Source organism: Homo sapiens, chromosome 5 (genome assembly GCF_000001405.40).
Source record: "Homo sapiens chromosome 5, GRCh38.p14 Primary Assembly".
NCBI lineage: Eukaryota > Metazoa > Chordata > Mammalia > Primates > Hominidae > Homo > Homo sapiens.
This window is the reverse complement of record NC_000005.10, coordinates 94,646,825-94,665,305: the sequence shown is the minus strand read 5'-3', so window position 1 is coordinate 94,665,305 and position 18,481 is coordinate 94,646,825. Positions and strand designations below refer to the sequence as shown.

Sequence of the window (18,481 nt, the reverse complement as noted above, 5' to 3'; positions counted from 1 at the left end):
ATGAATTTTTTTCCAATAAATGCAGCCTACCCTTCACGTCCATAGGTTCTACAACTGCAATTAAATACAGTATTCTGTATTTGGGAGGCCTCGGCCTCTGAAAGTGCTGGAATTACAGGTGTGAGCCACAGCACCCGGCCTACTAAGAAGTTTTAATTTCCTCACCTGTAAAATAAAGATAATTCCTGCCCTTGCTGCTGAATGAGATTATGTAGTTCAAAGAGGATGATATGTATGACTGTATCTTATTAGTTATTGTATTAATTATTTTCTATTGCCTTCAGTAGTGAAGGAAATTTTTTTCCCTAGTAGTAAGGGAAAATTTTACAATTACCTCTAAAAGAAAAACCTTTAAAAATACAGTATTCACAGGATGTAAAACCTTCGTATGTGGAGGGCTGACTTTTCCTATAAGTGCAGGTTCTGAAGAAGCAACTGCAGGACTTGATTATGTGCAGATTTCAGTATCCACAAAGGTCCTGAAACCAATATCCTGTGACAGCAAGGGATGACTCTATCTATACATTGGGTAATCCCTTCTATTAACACTACCTTAGATGGAATACACATTTTCCTTTTCACAATTATAGTGAGATTTAAGAGGTCTCAAATGTTACCTGAAAGGAACTAAAAGTAACAAACTATTCATGCAACATGCTTACTTATCACCAACATAACATACCTGACAAAGCTTATGCCTGTTATGTTATCAAATTAGCACCTTGGTGAAGGGCATGATTAGAAAGCGATCTTTGAATATTTGTTCCTATTGGTTTACACAGTTTGGGTATGTTCCCAGCATGGGCAACATAGCAAGACTCCATCTCTACAAAAAATTTAAAAATTAGCCAGGCATGGTGGCATGCGCCTACAGTCCCAGCTACTTGGGAGGCTGAAGCAGGGGGACTACTTGAGCCCAGGAGGTTGAGGCCACAGTGAGCCATGATCACACCACTGCAGTCCAGCCTGGACAACAGAGAGGGAACTTGCCTCTATTTCTTTTTAAACAAAGAGTATGTTCATTATGTATACTATAAATAAAAATGATAATCATCAATGTACTAATGGAGTAATTTACCAAATGTAATTCTAGATCACCATAATCTGAATTTTATATTTGATACTTTACTGCCGTGAGAAAAATTAGATAACCTTTTTCCCCAAAACAAAATTATCTTAGAAATCCTGAGAAAATCATTAGCTAAAGCACTAAGAGTAGTACCTAGTATGTAGCTGGAAAACAGAACAGTAGTAATAAATGGGTACTGCATTAGTGAAATGAAGAAAAAAAAACACTGAACAGGGAAAATAAACTGTAAACATACAAAAAGTGAGAAAATGTTCACATTTTAACATTCTTTGAAAAAAAGATTATAAATCCTTAAGGCTGCTCTTACCTGTAGAACGTTCTCTAGAAGGGCATGAAGAACGCATACAGGAGGGATATAATGTGCCTGCAAAGTGGAAAGTTCCTCAATTGCTTCTTTAAAAAAATGTCCTTCTATGAGGCTTTCAATTAAATTTAATACACCTCTGGGAAATTCAGCATTTTTAACCTAAGAAAGGAAAGATTCTATGATTCAGAGAAAAGAAAGATAAAATTTTGCAATCAAATCATGAATTAGTAAGAATTTATTATTTATTTATTCATTCATTCATTTGAGACGGAGTCTCACTCTGTTACCCAGGCTGGAATGCAGTGGTGCGATCTCGGCTCACTTGCAACCTCCGTCTCCCAGGTTCAAGTGATTCTCCTGCCTCAACCTCCTGAATAGCTGGGCCTATGGATGCGTGCCACCACACCCAGCTGATTTTTGTATTCTTAGCAGAGACGGGGTTTCACCATGTTGGCCAGGCTGGTCTCAAACTCCTGACCTCAGGTGATCCACTTGCCTTGGCCTCCCAAAGTGCTGGGATTATAGGCGTAAGCCACTGCACCCAGCCTAGTAACAAATTTTAATTTCCTCATCTGTGAAATGAAGATAATTCCTGGCCTTGCTGCTGGATGAGACTATGTAGTTCAAAGAGGATGATATGTATGAATGTATTTTATTACTTGTTATATTAATTATTTTCTGTTGCCTTCAGTAGTAAGGGAAAATACTACCTCTAAAAGAAAACCTTTAACAGGAATTTGCAGTTTGGTTGATAAAAAAGAGAAAGAGCTACAGCGACATAGTTCTTTAGGTGAAAAATTATTTTTTGGTTTTCTTTTAAACTTAAAAATGAACTCTGTTAAAATATCTTAAAAATGTTAAGATATCATCAAGCACAAGCAATATTTGCAAAAAGTGAAAACTGATTGGGAGAATCATAAAATCACTCTGAGGTTGTACATTTATATAACTCTAAGAGCTTCACAAAATACATTCCCCTTGGTCAAACTATTCTTAATAATAAAAGTAACTACCTTGAATAATTTGAGTCAAAAATATTCTAAAAGACTACATGGAATTAAAAAATCAAGTTTAGAAGAATAAACAAGGAAACAAGGGCCTCAAGCCCGATTCCCTCCCTAATTTAACAATAGACTGGATATATGTATTGTAGGTTTATTTTGTTCTGAAATGAAAGTATGTAAAATAAAGGTATCATTTTCTTTAAATAACAAAATACACTTTTGTAAATATCACACCAAAAAATTTTAATCTAAAAGTAGTCATTATGAAAGTTATGAAACATGAGAACAGGAATGTATATTTCACCTGTCATAAGCACAAGGTGTGTTTTTAACATTTGTGATCATTTTTTACTATTATATGGAAATTTTTGGGGGAGTTTTGACAGAATATTTTTATCATTTCTGATTAGAGAAGCTATATTTCTTTATTTGTGCATATAATACGTTACCTTTTATTGTGCATACAACACATTACTTTTATTCAAAATAACTAATAACAAAACACAAAACTTCTTCTTTGCCCCCATCACCAATGCTGCTCCAAGCCCCTTACCTCTACGTTGTACACTGGTTGTTTATCTATTCTAATGCAGTTGTATCTGACAGCCTACAAAAGAGCAACCATATAATTAAAACAACATTTTAAGATTGAAAAATACATTTCAGCTTCCCCAAAACCTTGGAAAAACATATAAAACAGATCCAGGAACACATTAATAGCTATAATTAATATGATACTCATATTTACTCAAACTAGCAACTTTTATTATTTTAGGGAACTCTCACGACTATGAGCATTTCTCTATTTTCTCCTTCTAAATTACAATAATTAAGTCATATTCGCTTTGAAGATCTGAAGAGGTCCATTGTCCTTAGTGTCGTAATTATTAGAAATATAAATGGGGAGAGCATTTTGTACAGGGGTACACAGGAGAAAAAAACATCAGTTATGTTTGCTATATAACCATATGTCAAATCTTATTGTTTTAAAACACCCATAATTGCATATTTAAAAGATTATCCTGGAAAAATATCTGCAACAAATATAATAAAGAGATAATACCCTGAGGCTGGGCGCTGTGGCTCACACCTGTAATCCCAGCACTTTGGAAGGCCAAGCTGGACAGATCACCTGAGGTCAGGAGTTTGAGAACAGCCTGGCCAACATGGCAAAACCCCGTCTCTATTAAATATACAAAAATTAGCCAGGCGTGGTGGCAGGCGCCTATAATCCTAGCTACTCTCAGGAGGCTGAGGCAGGAGAATTGCTTGAACCTGGGAAGCTCAGGTTGTAGTGAGCTGAGATTGCACCACTGCACTCCAGCCTGGGCAACAGAGCTAGACCCGGTCTCAAAAAAAAAAAAACAAAAAAACAAAAAACCCTGGAAGAAGGGGGCTTCAAGATGGCTGACTTAGAAGTGCTTGGCACTCAGCTCTTCCACAAAGGACTAAAACAGTGAGTAGATAATCACACACTGAATAGGGCATCTAAGAGAGAACATTACAATTTAAAAGTGGCAGGGAATCTCTGAGGCAAGCAAAGACAGAGAAGCAAAGCAGCTGGCTCAAATGGAACTGGCTAGGAGCCTGGAGAAACTACCCACTACGAATGGGAAAAACAAGAGACATCTACACAGATCCACATTCCCACCATGAATTCCTGCAATCCTAGCAACTGGAGAGCCCCTTAGTCCTCACTGGCCCAGAGACTAGTTTAGAAAGCTGCCTGGAGTCCACTCAATGGCATTATTCCAAAGAAAGAGTACACGCTGAGTCCCACATAATCTGCTGGCACCCAAGAGGCTGCAGCATGGCGCCAGGTAGAGCCCAGACACTACCAGACTACATCCTGCTCTGTGGCCCAACAGTGCCTAAGCCCGGAGCCCCACTGATATTCCTGTCCACCCAGAGAGCTGCAGTGTCATGATGCCAGCTGGAGTCAACAATGCAACTAGGTGGCCAGCACTCTCACCTACACAGTGTCCTACATCCTAAGGAGTAGGAGGTGGAGAGCACCAGGGAGGCCACCCTGGGGACAAAAGGAGCCAAAGCAGGAGCTCCTCAGATCCTGAGAGCCACCTGCCTGGGGCCTCTGTCACTGGCAGAAACCCTGTCCCACAGTTTCTGTGTGTTTCAAACCCTGCCCAGCACCAGCGTCGTCATGCACTTGCATGTGGCTTCAGGAGGCCTGAGGAGTGGCCCACTGGGGGGTTGTCCCAGGGCTTACAGATAGATCCACTCTGCCTGCCACTGGTGCCCACAAGCGCCATCTGGAAGCCTGAAGACAGGCCTACCCCACCCGCCACCACTGTGTAAATGCACAATACGAGGACGTGGGGATCAGACCGCCTTGTCTGCTGCAGCCAGAGGCTGCAGGAGCTATCGGGGGGCCTGAGGAAAGGCCTACCCTACTCCGACTACTAGCACAGCCACCAGAGCCCAAGTGCACTGCCAGGGAGAATGGGTATCAACCCATCCCTGTCCACCACTCCTGGTGCCTGTGCAACCATCAAGAGGCCTGATAACAGGCCTACCTGGCCTACTGCAACAGGCACTTGAGCACGCTGATATGAGGCCTGTGAACAGACCTGCCTCATTTACCACAGCTGGCAGCCACGCCCACCGTCAGGGGCCTAGGAACAGATTAGACCTGCATGCAGCCTCTGGCAATGCCACCTGCACTTGTCATCCAGGAACATCGGGATCAACCCACCCATTCACCAACCAGGTGCCCAAATACACCATCTGGGGCCTAGGACAGCCCACTCTGCCAACTGCCACTGCTGCTGGGACCCCAGCACATTGTCTGAGAACCTGTGGATCGACCCATCACACCAGCTACCAGGAGCACCTATGCAAACAACTAGGGGGATCAAAGGATGAGCATGTCAAGCTGCTGCTGCTGATAACCACCCACATGTGCCACCTGGCCTGCTCAGCCTATTTCCACCACTGCTGGCACCCATGTTTGCTACTTGGGGGCCCGAGGATTGGCCCACAACCACTACTGCCATCACGAATGCCATGCACACCACCCAGAGACCTGAGGACCCACTCATCCCACTACTGTCACTGCTGGCACCCAAGCAAGCCACCAGGAGGCACAGGGATTGGCCTACCCAGACCTGTGATGACTGGTGTCCATGTATATTGCCCAGGACCCAAGAACCAGCATGCACAGCCTGCTGCCACCACCAGTGCTGCCCAAGGACCACATGCCTGTGTCCACATCCCCAGCAACACTTCATTATAGCCTCCACTAACAAATGTAGCCTAAGCCACTGACAAACTCAAAGATAACACTGTGGATGACTACAGATGAAGAAATCATATGGAGACTACACCAATGTGCTCACATCTGGCAAAACTAAAGCACTCTATCCAAACAACACTATAGATACAACTATAGAAAAAACCTATGAAAACCAATTCACAAAATTTGAAGTGACTGTTACACCAGATACACAGATAGCAACATAACTATGCAAGAAAGGTGAAAAAGCAAGACAACATGGCACCTGTAAAGGAACACAATAATTCTCCAGCAACAGATTCCAACAAAAAGGAAACCAATGAAATTCCTAAAAAAAATTAAAATGATGATATTAAAAAAACTCAGTGAGATAGAAAAGTACACAGATGAACAATACAAGGTAAGCAGGAAAATAATTCATGATCTCAATGAGAAATTCAACAAAGAGATAATCATAGAAAAGAACCAAACAGAAATCCTGGAACTTAAGAATTCAATGAATGAAAAAAAATATATAACAGAGAGCTTCAGCAATAGACTAGATCAAGCAAAAGAAACTATTTCTAAACATGAAGACAGGTCTTTTGAAATCCTGGAACTTAAGAATTCAATGAATGAAAAAAAATATATAACAGAGAGCTTCAGCAATAGACTAGATCAAGCAAAAGAAACTATTTCTAAACATGAAGACAGGTCTTTTGAAATCCTGGAACTTAAGAATTCAATGAATGAAAAAAAATATATAACAGAGAGCTTCAGCAATAGACTAGATCAAGCAAAAGAAACTATTTCTAAACATGAAGACAGGTCTTTTGAAATAACAGACAAAACGAAAAAAAAGCCTAAATGACATATGGGAAGGCATAAAGTAATGAAATATTCCAATTTTCAGATTTCCAGATGGAGAAGTGATGGGCAAAGGCATAGAAAACCTATTTTAAAAACAATAGCTGAAAACGTCCCAAGTGTTGTAAGAGCTATTTCCAAATAGATTCAATTCTCAAAGGTCTCCAAGGCACATTACAGTCAAACTATCAAAAGTCAAAGACAAAGAAAGAATTCTAAAAACATCAAGAGAAAAAGCATAAAGTCACATATAAGGAAATCCCAATCAGGGTGACAACAGATTTCTCAGCAGAAGCCTTATAAGCCAGGAAAGAATAAGATGACACATTCATAGTGTTGAAAGGAAAAAACAACAACAACAACAACAACAACAACAAACCCAACTCAACAGGCAAGAATATTATACCCAGAAAACCTATCCTTCAAAAATAATGGAGAAATAAAGTATTTCCTGGACAAGCAAAAACAGAGAATTCATTACTAACAGACCAACCACACAAAAAATGTTTACGCAAGTCCTACAATTGGAAGCAAACGGATGATATCTACCACCATGAAAACACAAGAAAGTATAAAACTCACTGTAAAGCAAAAATACAAATGAGAAAAGAGCCAAATGTCACCAATACTAAAAAAAAAAAAACAAAAAACACCCAACTGCAATGACAAACAATAAAAGAAGAAATGAAAAAAAGGACACACAAAACAACCACAAAACAATTAACAAAATAACACAAGTAAGTCCTCACCCATAATAACCTTGAATGTAGATGGATTAAATTCTCCACATAAAAGATATAGACTGGCTGACTGGCTACATGTATTAAAAAAGCAGTGTGTTGCCTATAAGAAACTCTCTCCACCTGTTAAAACATGTAAAGACTGAAAGTGAAGAAGAATGGAAAAAGATATTCCACAAGAACGGAAACCAAAGCGAGCAGAAGTAGCTATACTTACATCAGAAAAAACTTTCTAAGTTAAAAACTGTAAAAAGAGATAAAGAAGGTCATTACATACTGATAAAAAGATCAATTCCGCAAGAAGATATAACAATTCTAAATATCTATGTACCCAACTTGGAGCACCCAGATATATAAATCCAGATCTTGGAGCACCTAGATCTAGAGGGAGACAGAGACTTCAACACAGTAACAATTGGGGACTCTAATACCCCATTCTAAGCATTGGACAGATTATCGAAACAGAAAATCAAAAAACAGACATTGGATTTAAACTGCACTTTAGAACAAATGAACCTAACAGACATTTAGAGAACATTTTATCTAACAGCTTCAGAATACACATTCTTCTCATTAGTATATGGGACATTCTTCCGGACAGACATTAGGCCACACAACAAATCTCAACACATTTGAAAAGATCTGAAGTCATATCAAATATCTTTCTCAGACAACAATGGAATAAAACTAAAAATCAGTAAGAAAAACTTTGGAAACTGTACAAATACACGTAAATAAAATCACATGTTCCTAAACGACCATTGGATCAATGAAGTAATTGAGAAGGAAATAAAACATTTCTTATAATAAATAAAAATGGAAACACAACATACCAAAACCTATAGAATACAGCAAAAGCAGTGCTAAAAGGCACATTTATAGAAAAAATGCCTAATATCTAAAAAGTAGAAAGATCTCAAATAATCAACTTAACAATGCACCTCAAGGAAGAAGAAGAGCAAGAACAAACCAAACCCCAAATTAGTAGAAGGAAATAATAAAGATCTATTATTATTTAGATTAATTATAAATTAATAAATATTTATTAAAGATATATAAATAAATTTTAAATAAATAATAAAGAGCAGAACGAAACAAAATAGACTTAAAAACACATAAGATCAATGAAACAAATAAGTTAATTTTTTTTAAAAGTTAAACAAAATCAATAAGCCATTAGCAAGACTAACAAAGACAAAAAAGAAAAAACCCCAAATAAATAAAATCAGAAGTGAAAAAGGACACATTATAATTGATATCACAGAAACACAAAAGAATATTAGAGACTATTATGAACTATACACCAACGAATCAGAAAACTTAGGGGAAATGGATAAATTCCTGGACACATATAACCTACCAAGACTGAATCAGAAAGAAACAGAAAACCTGAACAGACCAATGAGATTTAATCAGTAATAAAACTCTCACAACAAATAAAAAGCCGAGGACCAAAAGACTTTATTGCTGAATTCAACCAAATGTATAAAGAACTATCAACAGCACTTTTTAAACTGTTTCAAAAAAACTGAAGGGTAGGGAATTCTACCTAACTCGTTCTACAAGGCCACCATTACCCTGATACCAAAACCAGACAAAGACACAACACAAAAAGAAAACTACAGGGCAATATCCCTGAGAAAAGCAGATGCAAAAATCCTTAACAAAATGCTAGCAAACTAAATCCAACAACATAGCAAAGAGTCAGTACACTATGATCAAGTGTATTGATCATAGTGTATTGTCATAGTCAATACACTATGATCAAGTGTACACTATGATTTATCCCAAGGATGCAAGGATGGTTCAACATACACAAATAAGTAAATTAATAAAAACAAAATGAAGGACAAAAACTATATGATCATTTCAATATATGCAAAAAAGCTTTTAATAAAATTTCTTCAACATCCCTTCATGATGAAAACTCTCAACCAACTAGGCACAGAAGTACTTCAACATAACAAAGGTCATACATGACAAACCTATAGCTACCTTATGTGAAATGGGAAAACCATGAAAGCCATTCCCTAAGGACTGAAACTAGAAAAGAATGCCTACTTTTACAACTTTTATTCAACCTAATACTGAAAGTCATCCTCACCAGAGCAATCAGGCAAGGAAAAGAAAGAAAAGGCATCCAAATTGGAAAAGTAAAATTGTCCCTCTCTGGAGACGACATGATCTCATATGTAGAAAAACATGAAGACTTGACAAAAAAAAAATCACTTAAAACTGATAAATGAATTCAGTAAAGCTGTGAGATAAAAAGTTAACATTCAAAAATCAGTAGCATTTCTATATGCCAATAATGAACTAGCTATAAATCAATCACAGAAGCAATCCCATTTAGAAGAGCTCTAAAAATTATAAAATACCTAGGAATATATTTAACCAAGGAGGTGAAAGATCTCTACAAGGAAAAAACGAAAAAACACTGATGAAAGAAATCGACATGGACACAAACAAATGGAAAGACATTCCATGTTTATGAGTTTGAAGAATATGGTTAAAATAACCAAATTGCCCAAAGTAATCTACAAATTTAATGGAATCCCTATCAAAATATCAATGACATTCTTCTGTGAAACAGGAAAAACAATCCTAAAATTTGTAAACAACTGCAAAAGACCCTAAATACCCAAAGCAATGCTGAGCAAGAAGGACTATAAATACCCAAAGCAATGCTGAGCTGGAGGCACACACTACTTGACTTCAAAGTATACCACAAAGCTATAGTAACCCAAACAGCATGGTACTGGTATAAAAACAGACATATAGACCAGTGAAGAACAGAGAATCCAAAAATAAATCCACATATTTAAAGCAAACTGATTTTGGACAAGGTGCCAAGAACACTCACGGGGGAAAGGACAGTCTTCAATAAATGATGTTGGGAAAACTGGATAATCATAAGCAGAATGAAAACTAGACTGTTATTTCTTCACCATATACAAAAATCAACTCAAAATGAATTAAAGACTTCCAGGTAAAACCTGAAACTATAAAACTACTAGAAGAAAACACAGGGGAAACACTTCGGGGCATTGATGTAGGCAAAGAATTTATGGCCAAGACTTCAAACACATGACTTATCTGTGACATTATTGAGGTATAAATAGCACAGAATTCAGCCTATTTACTAAATGTCCAAATACATTACTGTATAATAGACTAATAAACTAAGAAAATCATTTTAAGACATATTAAACATACTAATGAATCATATGTATATATGTATATATAATTATATTTTGAATACACTACAGTAAGACACGATATTATACAAAATTTTTCATGTGCCAAGTTTTACCTGAGCTCTATATATGTGCTTCCTTAAGGTATTTTTTATTTCAACAACATCCACATCTGTCTTAATAGCCATGGCTTTTGATTCTTTGGCATATTCAGCAAAAATAGAATTCTTCATTTCTTTCTGCATATAGCAAAGTAAAATGACTTTAGAAAATGTACTAAAGACAGTGTCAACACAGATGATATCACAAAGGACAATATAAGAGGAACACATTCATACCATGTTAACCACAGCAAAGATCCTCACAATCATATATCAAGATTACACAATGAAAGAAAAAGCTCAAAAAGCAAACATTTCAATTTGTAAAGAATTAACTGATATTTACATATGTACTTTCTTTTTTTTTTTTTTTCTTTTTACTCTTTTTATTTGCTCCTGCCAACATATGTACTTTCTTAAGGCACTTTTCATTTATCCTGTTCCAAATTGTTCCTGGAACTGCTTTTTTGTTGTTGCCATGGTCATACAAAACAAAATTCATTACTTATTTACCTTTATCATTTTCCTGAAATTCTTCTGAATATATGCATATATACATAATATGGCATTTATTTATGTATTTAGGTATTTATTTTTGAGATGGGGTCTTACTCTTGTCACCCAGGCTGGAGTGCAGTGGTGCAATCTTGGCTCACTGCAACCTCTGCCTCCGAGGCTCAAGCAATCCTCCCACTTCAGCCTCCCAAGCAGCTGGAACCACAGGCACCTACTACCATGCCAGCTAATTTTTTGTATTTTTGGTAGACATGGGGTTTCACCATGTTGCCCAGTCTGGTCTCCAACTGCAGAGCTCAAGCAATCTGCCCCGTTGGCCTCCCAGAGTGCTGGGATTACAGGTGTGAGCCACCGCATCCAGCCCATGGTATGGTTTAGATCGTTAAAAAAAAAAAAAGTCATACTCCAGAAAAAATTTACCCAAGAAGCATTCAATTTTAAAAACAAGACATCTCATTAAAAATGGTCTGTACTATACAAAAGAGCAAAATAAAATTTACATTAGAAAGTATTACCCAACTATACACACATGTAGTTTTAAAGATTTTTTCATTTTAAGAAATAGTCTTTTCCAGTTTCTTTTTCTTATTCATCACATTCAGGCAAAACAAAATTCACTGAATACCTTGATTATTAACTCAGATTTCTTTGTATATGCATGTACAAGTACATTTACTGTGAACCAAAGTTAACTGGAATATTAACTATGAATATTACACCAGATTGACTCAAGATTTTTTCTTAAAACATGTAGCATTATATATCTAGATTATATCAGAGAACAGCCAAAAAATAAAAAAGAAAGCTATAGCTTAGCTTACAAACTTTACCTGATCTCTATTATATATGTGCCTTCTTAAGGTACTTTTTATTTTTTCATGTTCAACGCCTTTCTTGCAATTGCTTTCTTTTCCTTTCTTGCGTTTTCTCCTCAAAGTATAACTCCTCTGAATATCTTCATCTTTTTTCTTAATTTCCTTCTACATGTATTTAGACCACAATTAAATCTCAACATCAATGACATATGTTACAAAATCCAAATAAACTCAAGAGTGACTTTCATACTTTCATACACATTAAAAAATAAAGAAGTACGGCCGGGCGCGGTGGCTCATGCCTGTAATCTCTGCACTTTGGGAGGCCAAGGCGGGCGGATCACCTGAGGTCGGGAGTTAGAGACCAGCCTGACCAACATGGAGAAATCCCATTTCCACTAAAAATACAAAATTAGCCAGGCGTGGTGGCACATGCCTGTAATCCCAGCTACTTGGGAGGCTGAGGCAGGTGAATCGCTTGAACCTGGAAGGCGGAGGTTGTGGCGAGCTGAGATTGCGCCATTGCACTCCAGCCTGAGCAACTAGAGTGAAACTCCATCTCAAAAAATAGAAATAAAAATAAAGAAGTACGTACAACAGAAAATCTCATCCATTGACAGAGTAGGTGTACATTAGTAAAATATTTTGAAAAAAGTCGGACACTGCCTAGTATAGTTGAACATGCACACTCCTTATGACCCAGCAACTCCATTCCTAGGAATATACCAACTAAGCTAGAGAAATTACTAAATATGTATCCCAAGAGGTATACAAGATAATGTTCATATTATTCATAGCAGAATTGTTCATAATTGCAAAAACTTAACAATCAAACACATAAACCAATAAAAAGAAGCCCAAAGGCTTATCAACAGTAAAATGGATAAAAGATATAATTGTGGCATAGTCAAACAATAAAATTTTATATACATTAGCAAAAGAAGTCTATAAATAACATAAACTATAAAATGTTCATGAATAGACAAAGCTAAACCATATCAGTTAGAGATACACACACAGCTGTTAAAACTATAATGAAAAATAAGAAAATAATTAACACAAATTCTAAGACAAAGATTACTTCTAGGTAAGAGGGAGAAAGGGGATGCATTAGAAAATGATATAGCAGGCTGGGCGCAGTGGCTCACGCCTGTAATCCAAGTACTTTGGGAGGCGGAGGTGGGCAGATTACAAGGTCAAGAGATCAAGACCATCCTGGCCAACATGGTGAAACCCAGTCTCTACTGAAAAAATTACAAAAATTAGCCAGGCGTGGTGGTGTGTGCCTGTAGTCCCAGCTACTTGGGAGGCTGAGGCAGGAGAATTGCTTGAACCCAGGAGGCAGAGGTTGCAGTGAGCTAAGATTGTGCCAGTGCATTCCAGCCTGGTAACAGAGCAAGACTCCATCTCAAAAAAAAAAAAGAAAAAAGAAAATAATACAGCAGGTCTTAAAAACTGGTAATGCTCTATTTCTTAATCTAGCTATTGGATACATAACTCATTTTTATATATTTTTTAAAAGCTAAAGAAAACTGTTCTATAAACACTATATATATTAAAAATAAATTATTTTTAATTTGGAAAGTTGTACCTGATTTTCATATGTATGGCTTCCAAAGGTATTTCTCATTTTAACAAATTTCAAATCTTTACTGGAACCACTGAATTTTTCTTTTTTGTGATGTTGAATCAAAATAGAACCAACATTAACATCTTCATGATTTTGCATTTCTTTCTGCGTGTTTGTAAACATAATTTAGTTAAGACTGTGGATTAAATATAGCCTTAACACAATCAACACAAGTCACAAAAGAAAAACCCATCCAGGAACATAGATTTTGTAAAATATACATACAAGGTTAAATAGAGTAAAGAACCCTCTGAATTATGTAAGATAAAGCAGAACATAATTGTTTTCAGTTCACAAAGCTTTATAGTACGTTAACATATATGCTTTAGTTTACCTATGTGCTGAATTCCGATTAATGAGTATTACAAATCATGTTGTTTAATCATTATACCAAAATAGCTATTTTTAAAAAAGGATATTTCTACTTGAATTTTACATACATAATTTGAGTCCTAAAAAGAACTCAAGAAGACATATATACAGTCATGCACTGCTTAACGATGGGGATATGTTTTGAGAAGTACATCGTTAGTTGATTTCGTCATTGTGCGAACATCAGAGTCTACCTACACAAACCTAGATGGTATAGTCTACTACACACCTAGTCTATATGGTATGGTCTATCGCTCCTAAGTTACAAATCTTTATGACATGTTACAGTATTAAATGCTATAGGCAACTGCAACACAATGCTGAGTATTAGTGTATCTAAACATAGAAAGGATACAGTAAAAATATGGTATTATTATCTTATGGGACTATAAGATACTATCATATATGGGGTCCGTTGTTGACCAAAACATCATTATGTGTACATGACTGTAGATGTATTTTAATGATTTCCATTTATCTTACAAAATTTCTATTTTATTCTTTTGCCATGTTTATTCAAAACTAAATTATTTTAATAACTCCATCTTCATTCTACATTCCTTTCTATATGTAAAAATGCTATACACTGTGGTTTACAATGTATATTTCACAAGAGGCACATCAACTCAAAAAAGCTTCTCATTAAAACATGCACATATAGTAAATTACAAAAAGTAGTCTTCTAAGTCACATAAATATAAATATACACTGGAAAAGTCAGAAAAAAATGCAAAAATATTTTAAGTTTGGAAAGTTCTAGCAAATCTTGCCATATACAATTTCTTAAGGAACTATGTAATCCCAGCACTTTGGGAGGCCGAGGCGGGCGGATCACGAGGTCAGGAGATGGAGACCATCCTGGTTAACATGGTGAAACCCCGTCTCTACTAAGAAAATACAAAAAATTAGCCAGGCGCAATGGCGGGCTCCTGTAGTCCCAGCTACTCGGGAGGCTGAGGCAGGAGAATGGCGTGAACCCAGGAGGCAGAGCTTGCAGTGAGCCGAGATAGTGCCACTGCAGTCCAGCCTGGGCGAAACAGCAAGACTCTGTCTCAAAAAAAAAAAAAAAAAATGTTCCAAATTATTCCTAGAATTACCTTTCAAAAATACTTGACAGATATGGTAAAAACAATTTATTTTGAATTTCTTCTTAGTTATACATAAAACTTTTAGTTTAGACTAATAATTATCAACTTAATAATTTGATAAATTAACCAAATAGACTGCTTTATAAAACACAATATGAAAGTGAACATAACTGAACATTAGCTCTTCTAGAGCAGAACTAATAATGTCCTTTTTGTGGCTGCTACTGCTATTTGAAAAGTTGTACTTGACAGCCACCATACCATATGTGCTTTCTTGAGGTACTTTTTATTGCTCCAAGTTCAAAGTCCTTCCTGTTTTATTGTTTTACAAGTTAATCAAAATAGACTTCATTTGTGTATTTTTAAATTTTATTCTATATAAATACTTGAATTTACATGAATTATATATTGTGCTCTCAGGTAAGAAAAATGCTTTATAAGACACACGATGTTACCTAAACATAAGTAAGTTACCTAAACATGGTAATTACATAAGTAATTACCATGTGTTGAGAACGCACTATGTATAAGGAACTCTGTGTATTTCTATATGCATACAAACATTACTTCAACAAGAGTTCCCAGAGACATAGGACAATTTCCTAACATGTTCAAGTCACAGACTATAAACACATGGTTCAAACACCAGCCTTCTGATTCCAAAATCTATTTTTTCCACCATACTTTGCCTCTTAAACAATTCTATAAGAAACATCAGAAATGTATGTTTTTCAGCCTATAAAGTTTACCTGGGTTCTATACATGGTCTCTCTTAAGGCACCTTTCATTTCAAGAAATCCTGCATCTTTCCTGAAATCTTTGTTTGTTTCTTCATTGCTATGTTCAGTCCAAACAGAATTGGTTTGGGAATCTTCATCATTCTGAATTTCTTTCTGTATGTATGTAAAAATGGTTTAGGCAATCATCTAAGTGTATTTTCAATATTATGTACGTTTTATGGTACTCAACTTTAACTATAATACTTTGTTAGTCAAACAAGTAGGTAAAATGCACCCTCTTAAATCAAAGGATGTTAAACACTGATAAAAATCTTTCAGGGAAAAAATCATGATAGTAAAGGTCCTGAATAATAAAGTGATTTCTGTATATCTCAAGAAAAGGTAATGCTTTGTTCATCTACTAACAAGTCATTTTTATGAATAACCAAGAACAAAAATATTTTATCTAGTCCCTGTCCAAGCTAAAGTTACAATCTAGATTTTACAAATCATCAATTATAGACAGACTTCTTCTTGGATTATTTTTCAGTTTTTTCCTGGTAAGACTTCTCACTTGCAAGTATACCCCACATAGAGAGGAAAAGGTTACACAATACTCTTACTTGAATAGCAATAAACAACAATTATCTTAATGTAGCTCTATCTCAAACAACAAAATTTCTCTTGCCAAGGAACCCAAACTGCATTCATAAATCAACTTCCAATAATTATTTTAAAATTCATTGCATACATACTTATACATATAATTCTGTAAGTTTAGTAATATAAACAAGCTGGGAGTAAAAGTTCATGACAGTTCCCAAAATGTACTTATGAGAGGCTGTTCAGGCTGGGCACGGTGGCTCATGCCTGTAATCCCAGCACTTTGGGAAGCCAAGGCGGGTGGATCACGAGGTCAGAAGATCAAGACCATCCTGCCCAACATGGTGAAACCCCATCGCTACTAAAAATACAAAAATTAGCCAGCCATGGTGGCACATGCCTGTAATCTCAGCTACTCGGGAGGCCGAGGCAGGAGAATTGCTTGAACTTGGGAGGCGGAGGCTGCAGTGAGCCAAGATCACACCACTGCACTCCAGCCTGGGTAACAGAGCGAGACTCCATCTAAAGAAAGAAAGGCTATTTTCAGAGATTCACAATCTCTACCCAAAGAGACTGAAGAATCACAGTCTTCCTAGGGAACAATTATAAAAAAAACAAAACGTGTTAAGGCCTTTAACGTGATCTTTAGTTCCCTCTCACTCGCACTTGGCTTCCTATGTTAAAATGAGGGCCGTTCCTTTTAGCAGGCTGCAATCCTGAAACCACAGAATAATCCCTGAGAATAGCTGATTGAATTTCTTTTTCAGCAACTCAGAAAGGTGAAAATGAAAACTAAGAAAATAAAGACTTTTCTCCCTTCCTATTACTGGGACCAAAGAATGTATCAACAACAATTTCTGTTAAGTGTAACTTGCAGGTGGGGGGAAATGAGTACCTGGCATTAAATTTTACATGGTTGGTAATGGGAGGATAAATCCATAGGCTTAGGTCCTCAAAAAATGTCCAGAATACAGGATGAATTAATCCCATATACATTCTCATTATGGAGAATGCAGGGAACATACCACTATCATCAGCAACAAGGCAAGAAATAAACTGTTTCCTAATCCTGAATATATTTACTTATGTGTCCATTTCAGATGCTACATATGAATCTGTAAATTAAGATGTATGATACTAGTACCCTACATAAGTTAACTATTTAAAAATCACAACCTGATACAGAAGGTATAACATTTGAAAGTTTTGAAATTGAATAATCTATTATCTATACAGCTAAACAAATGATCCACATATTTTTCTCTAAGCCACTAATACTTTGTCTAATTGGTGACTCTTATGAAATATAGAGAAATTATTTAACTATAAATAGTCATTTTTATTCCTTATAAGTATCTTAGTGTCAACTTACGTACTAGGCAATGGGTTAGGTGTTTGTCTCCTTTTATAATCTAGGAAAGCCAGTCCAAGACTAGTATATTTTGTAAAGTATAGTGCTATGCACTAAAGGATAACTAAAAGCCTGCTTAATCAGCTACCTATTCTATTATCTAGGAGTAGGGCAACACAGTTGTGGCAATGAGAGTTGGCTTTTGATTCTGATATTTGACTTAGTTTCCTATCTTTGGCTAGGTATAATTGAGATGCTCTGGTCTCCACGTCTTATTCCAATATTCAGCCAAAGCGTCTGTCACACAACTTGAATGAACTGATTAGACCAGATGCATAAGAAGAAGAAGAGACATATAAATCAAGAAAGGCAGTCCTTTGAGTGCTACTTGGTTCTTAACTTGTACTTATACCCTGATGCTTAAATAGTATTTCACAATCCTATGACTAGATATTCGTTTATGGTATCAATTACAGCATTTATTATTTTTTAACTACCTACAAAGAGACTGGAAATCTAATAATACTCAAAATGGGGAGACAAAAAGGATCTAGGAAAGGAAGATTTGAGGAAAGAAACCTTAAAATTTATTGAGTGGTTGGCTTTAAGTTTCTGCTCTGATACATGACAGCTGTGGGATCTTGGGCAAGTTACTTACCCTCATTTTACCTCAAAATTTATCCCAAACAGTAAATGGAGTCATAATACATACCACACATGAACATGAGGTTTAAATATGACTAAGCATGTAAAATGCTTAACATATAGCCTGACCCATAATAATCACTCAGTAACTATTACTCAAGGTAGTAATAGTAATAATTCTCACAATCACCAAAGCAATGTAGT

At 36.2% G+C, this 18,481-nt stretch overlaps 1 protein-coding gene across 10 annotated transcripts in view; it reads right to left on the bottom strand.

Moving 5' to 3' along the window:
• Positions 1 to 18,481, bottom strand: part of SLF1 (SMC5/6 complex localization factor 1) — a 79,391-nt gene that overhangs the window by 32,316 nt on the left and 28,594 nt on the right. For 6 of the 10 annotated variants that reach the window (XM_017009979.3, XM_047417830.1, NM_032290.4 and 3 more), the window contains exons 6-11: positions 15,709 to 15,852; positions 13,461 to 13,604; positions 11,885 to 12,034; positions 10,554 to 10,676; positions 2,955 to 3,008; positions 1,398 to 1,556 (exon numbers count right to left, since the gene is read on the bottom strand). In XM_017009979.3, coding sequence (XP_016865468.1) covers positions 1,398 to 1,556; positions 2,955 to 3,008; positions 10,554 to 10,676; positions 11,885 to 12,034; positions 13,461 to 13,604; positions 15,709 to 15,852 — 774 coding nt within the window. Of the gene's footprint in view, positions 1 to 1,397; positions 1,557 to 2,954; positions 3,009 to 10,553; positions 10,677 to 11,884; positions 12,035 to 13,460; positions 13,605 to 15,708; positions 15,853 to 18,481 lie in introns of those variants that run through there. The other 4 variants (XM_047417831.1, XM_024446235.2, XM_047417832.1 and 1 more) reach the window with 2 other exon arrangements.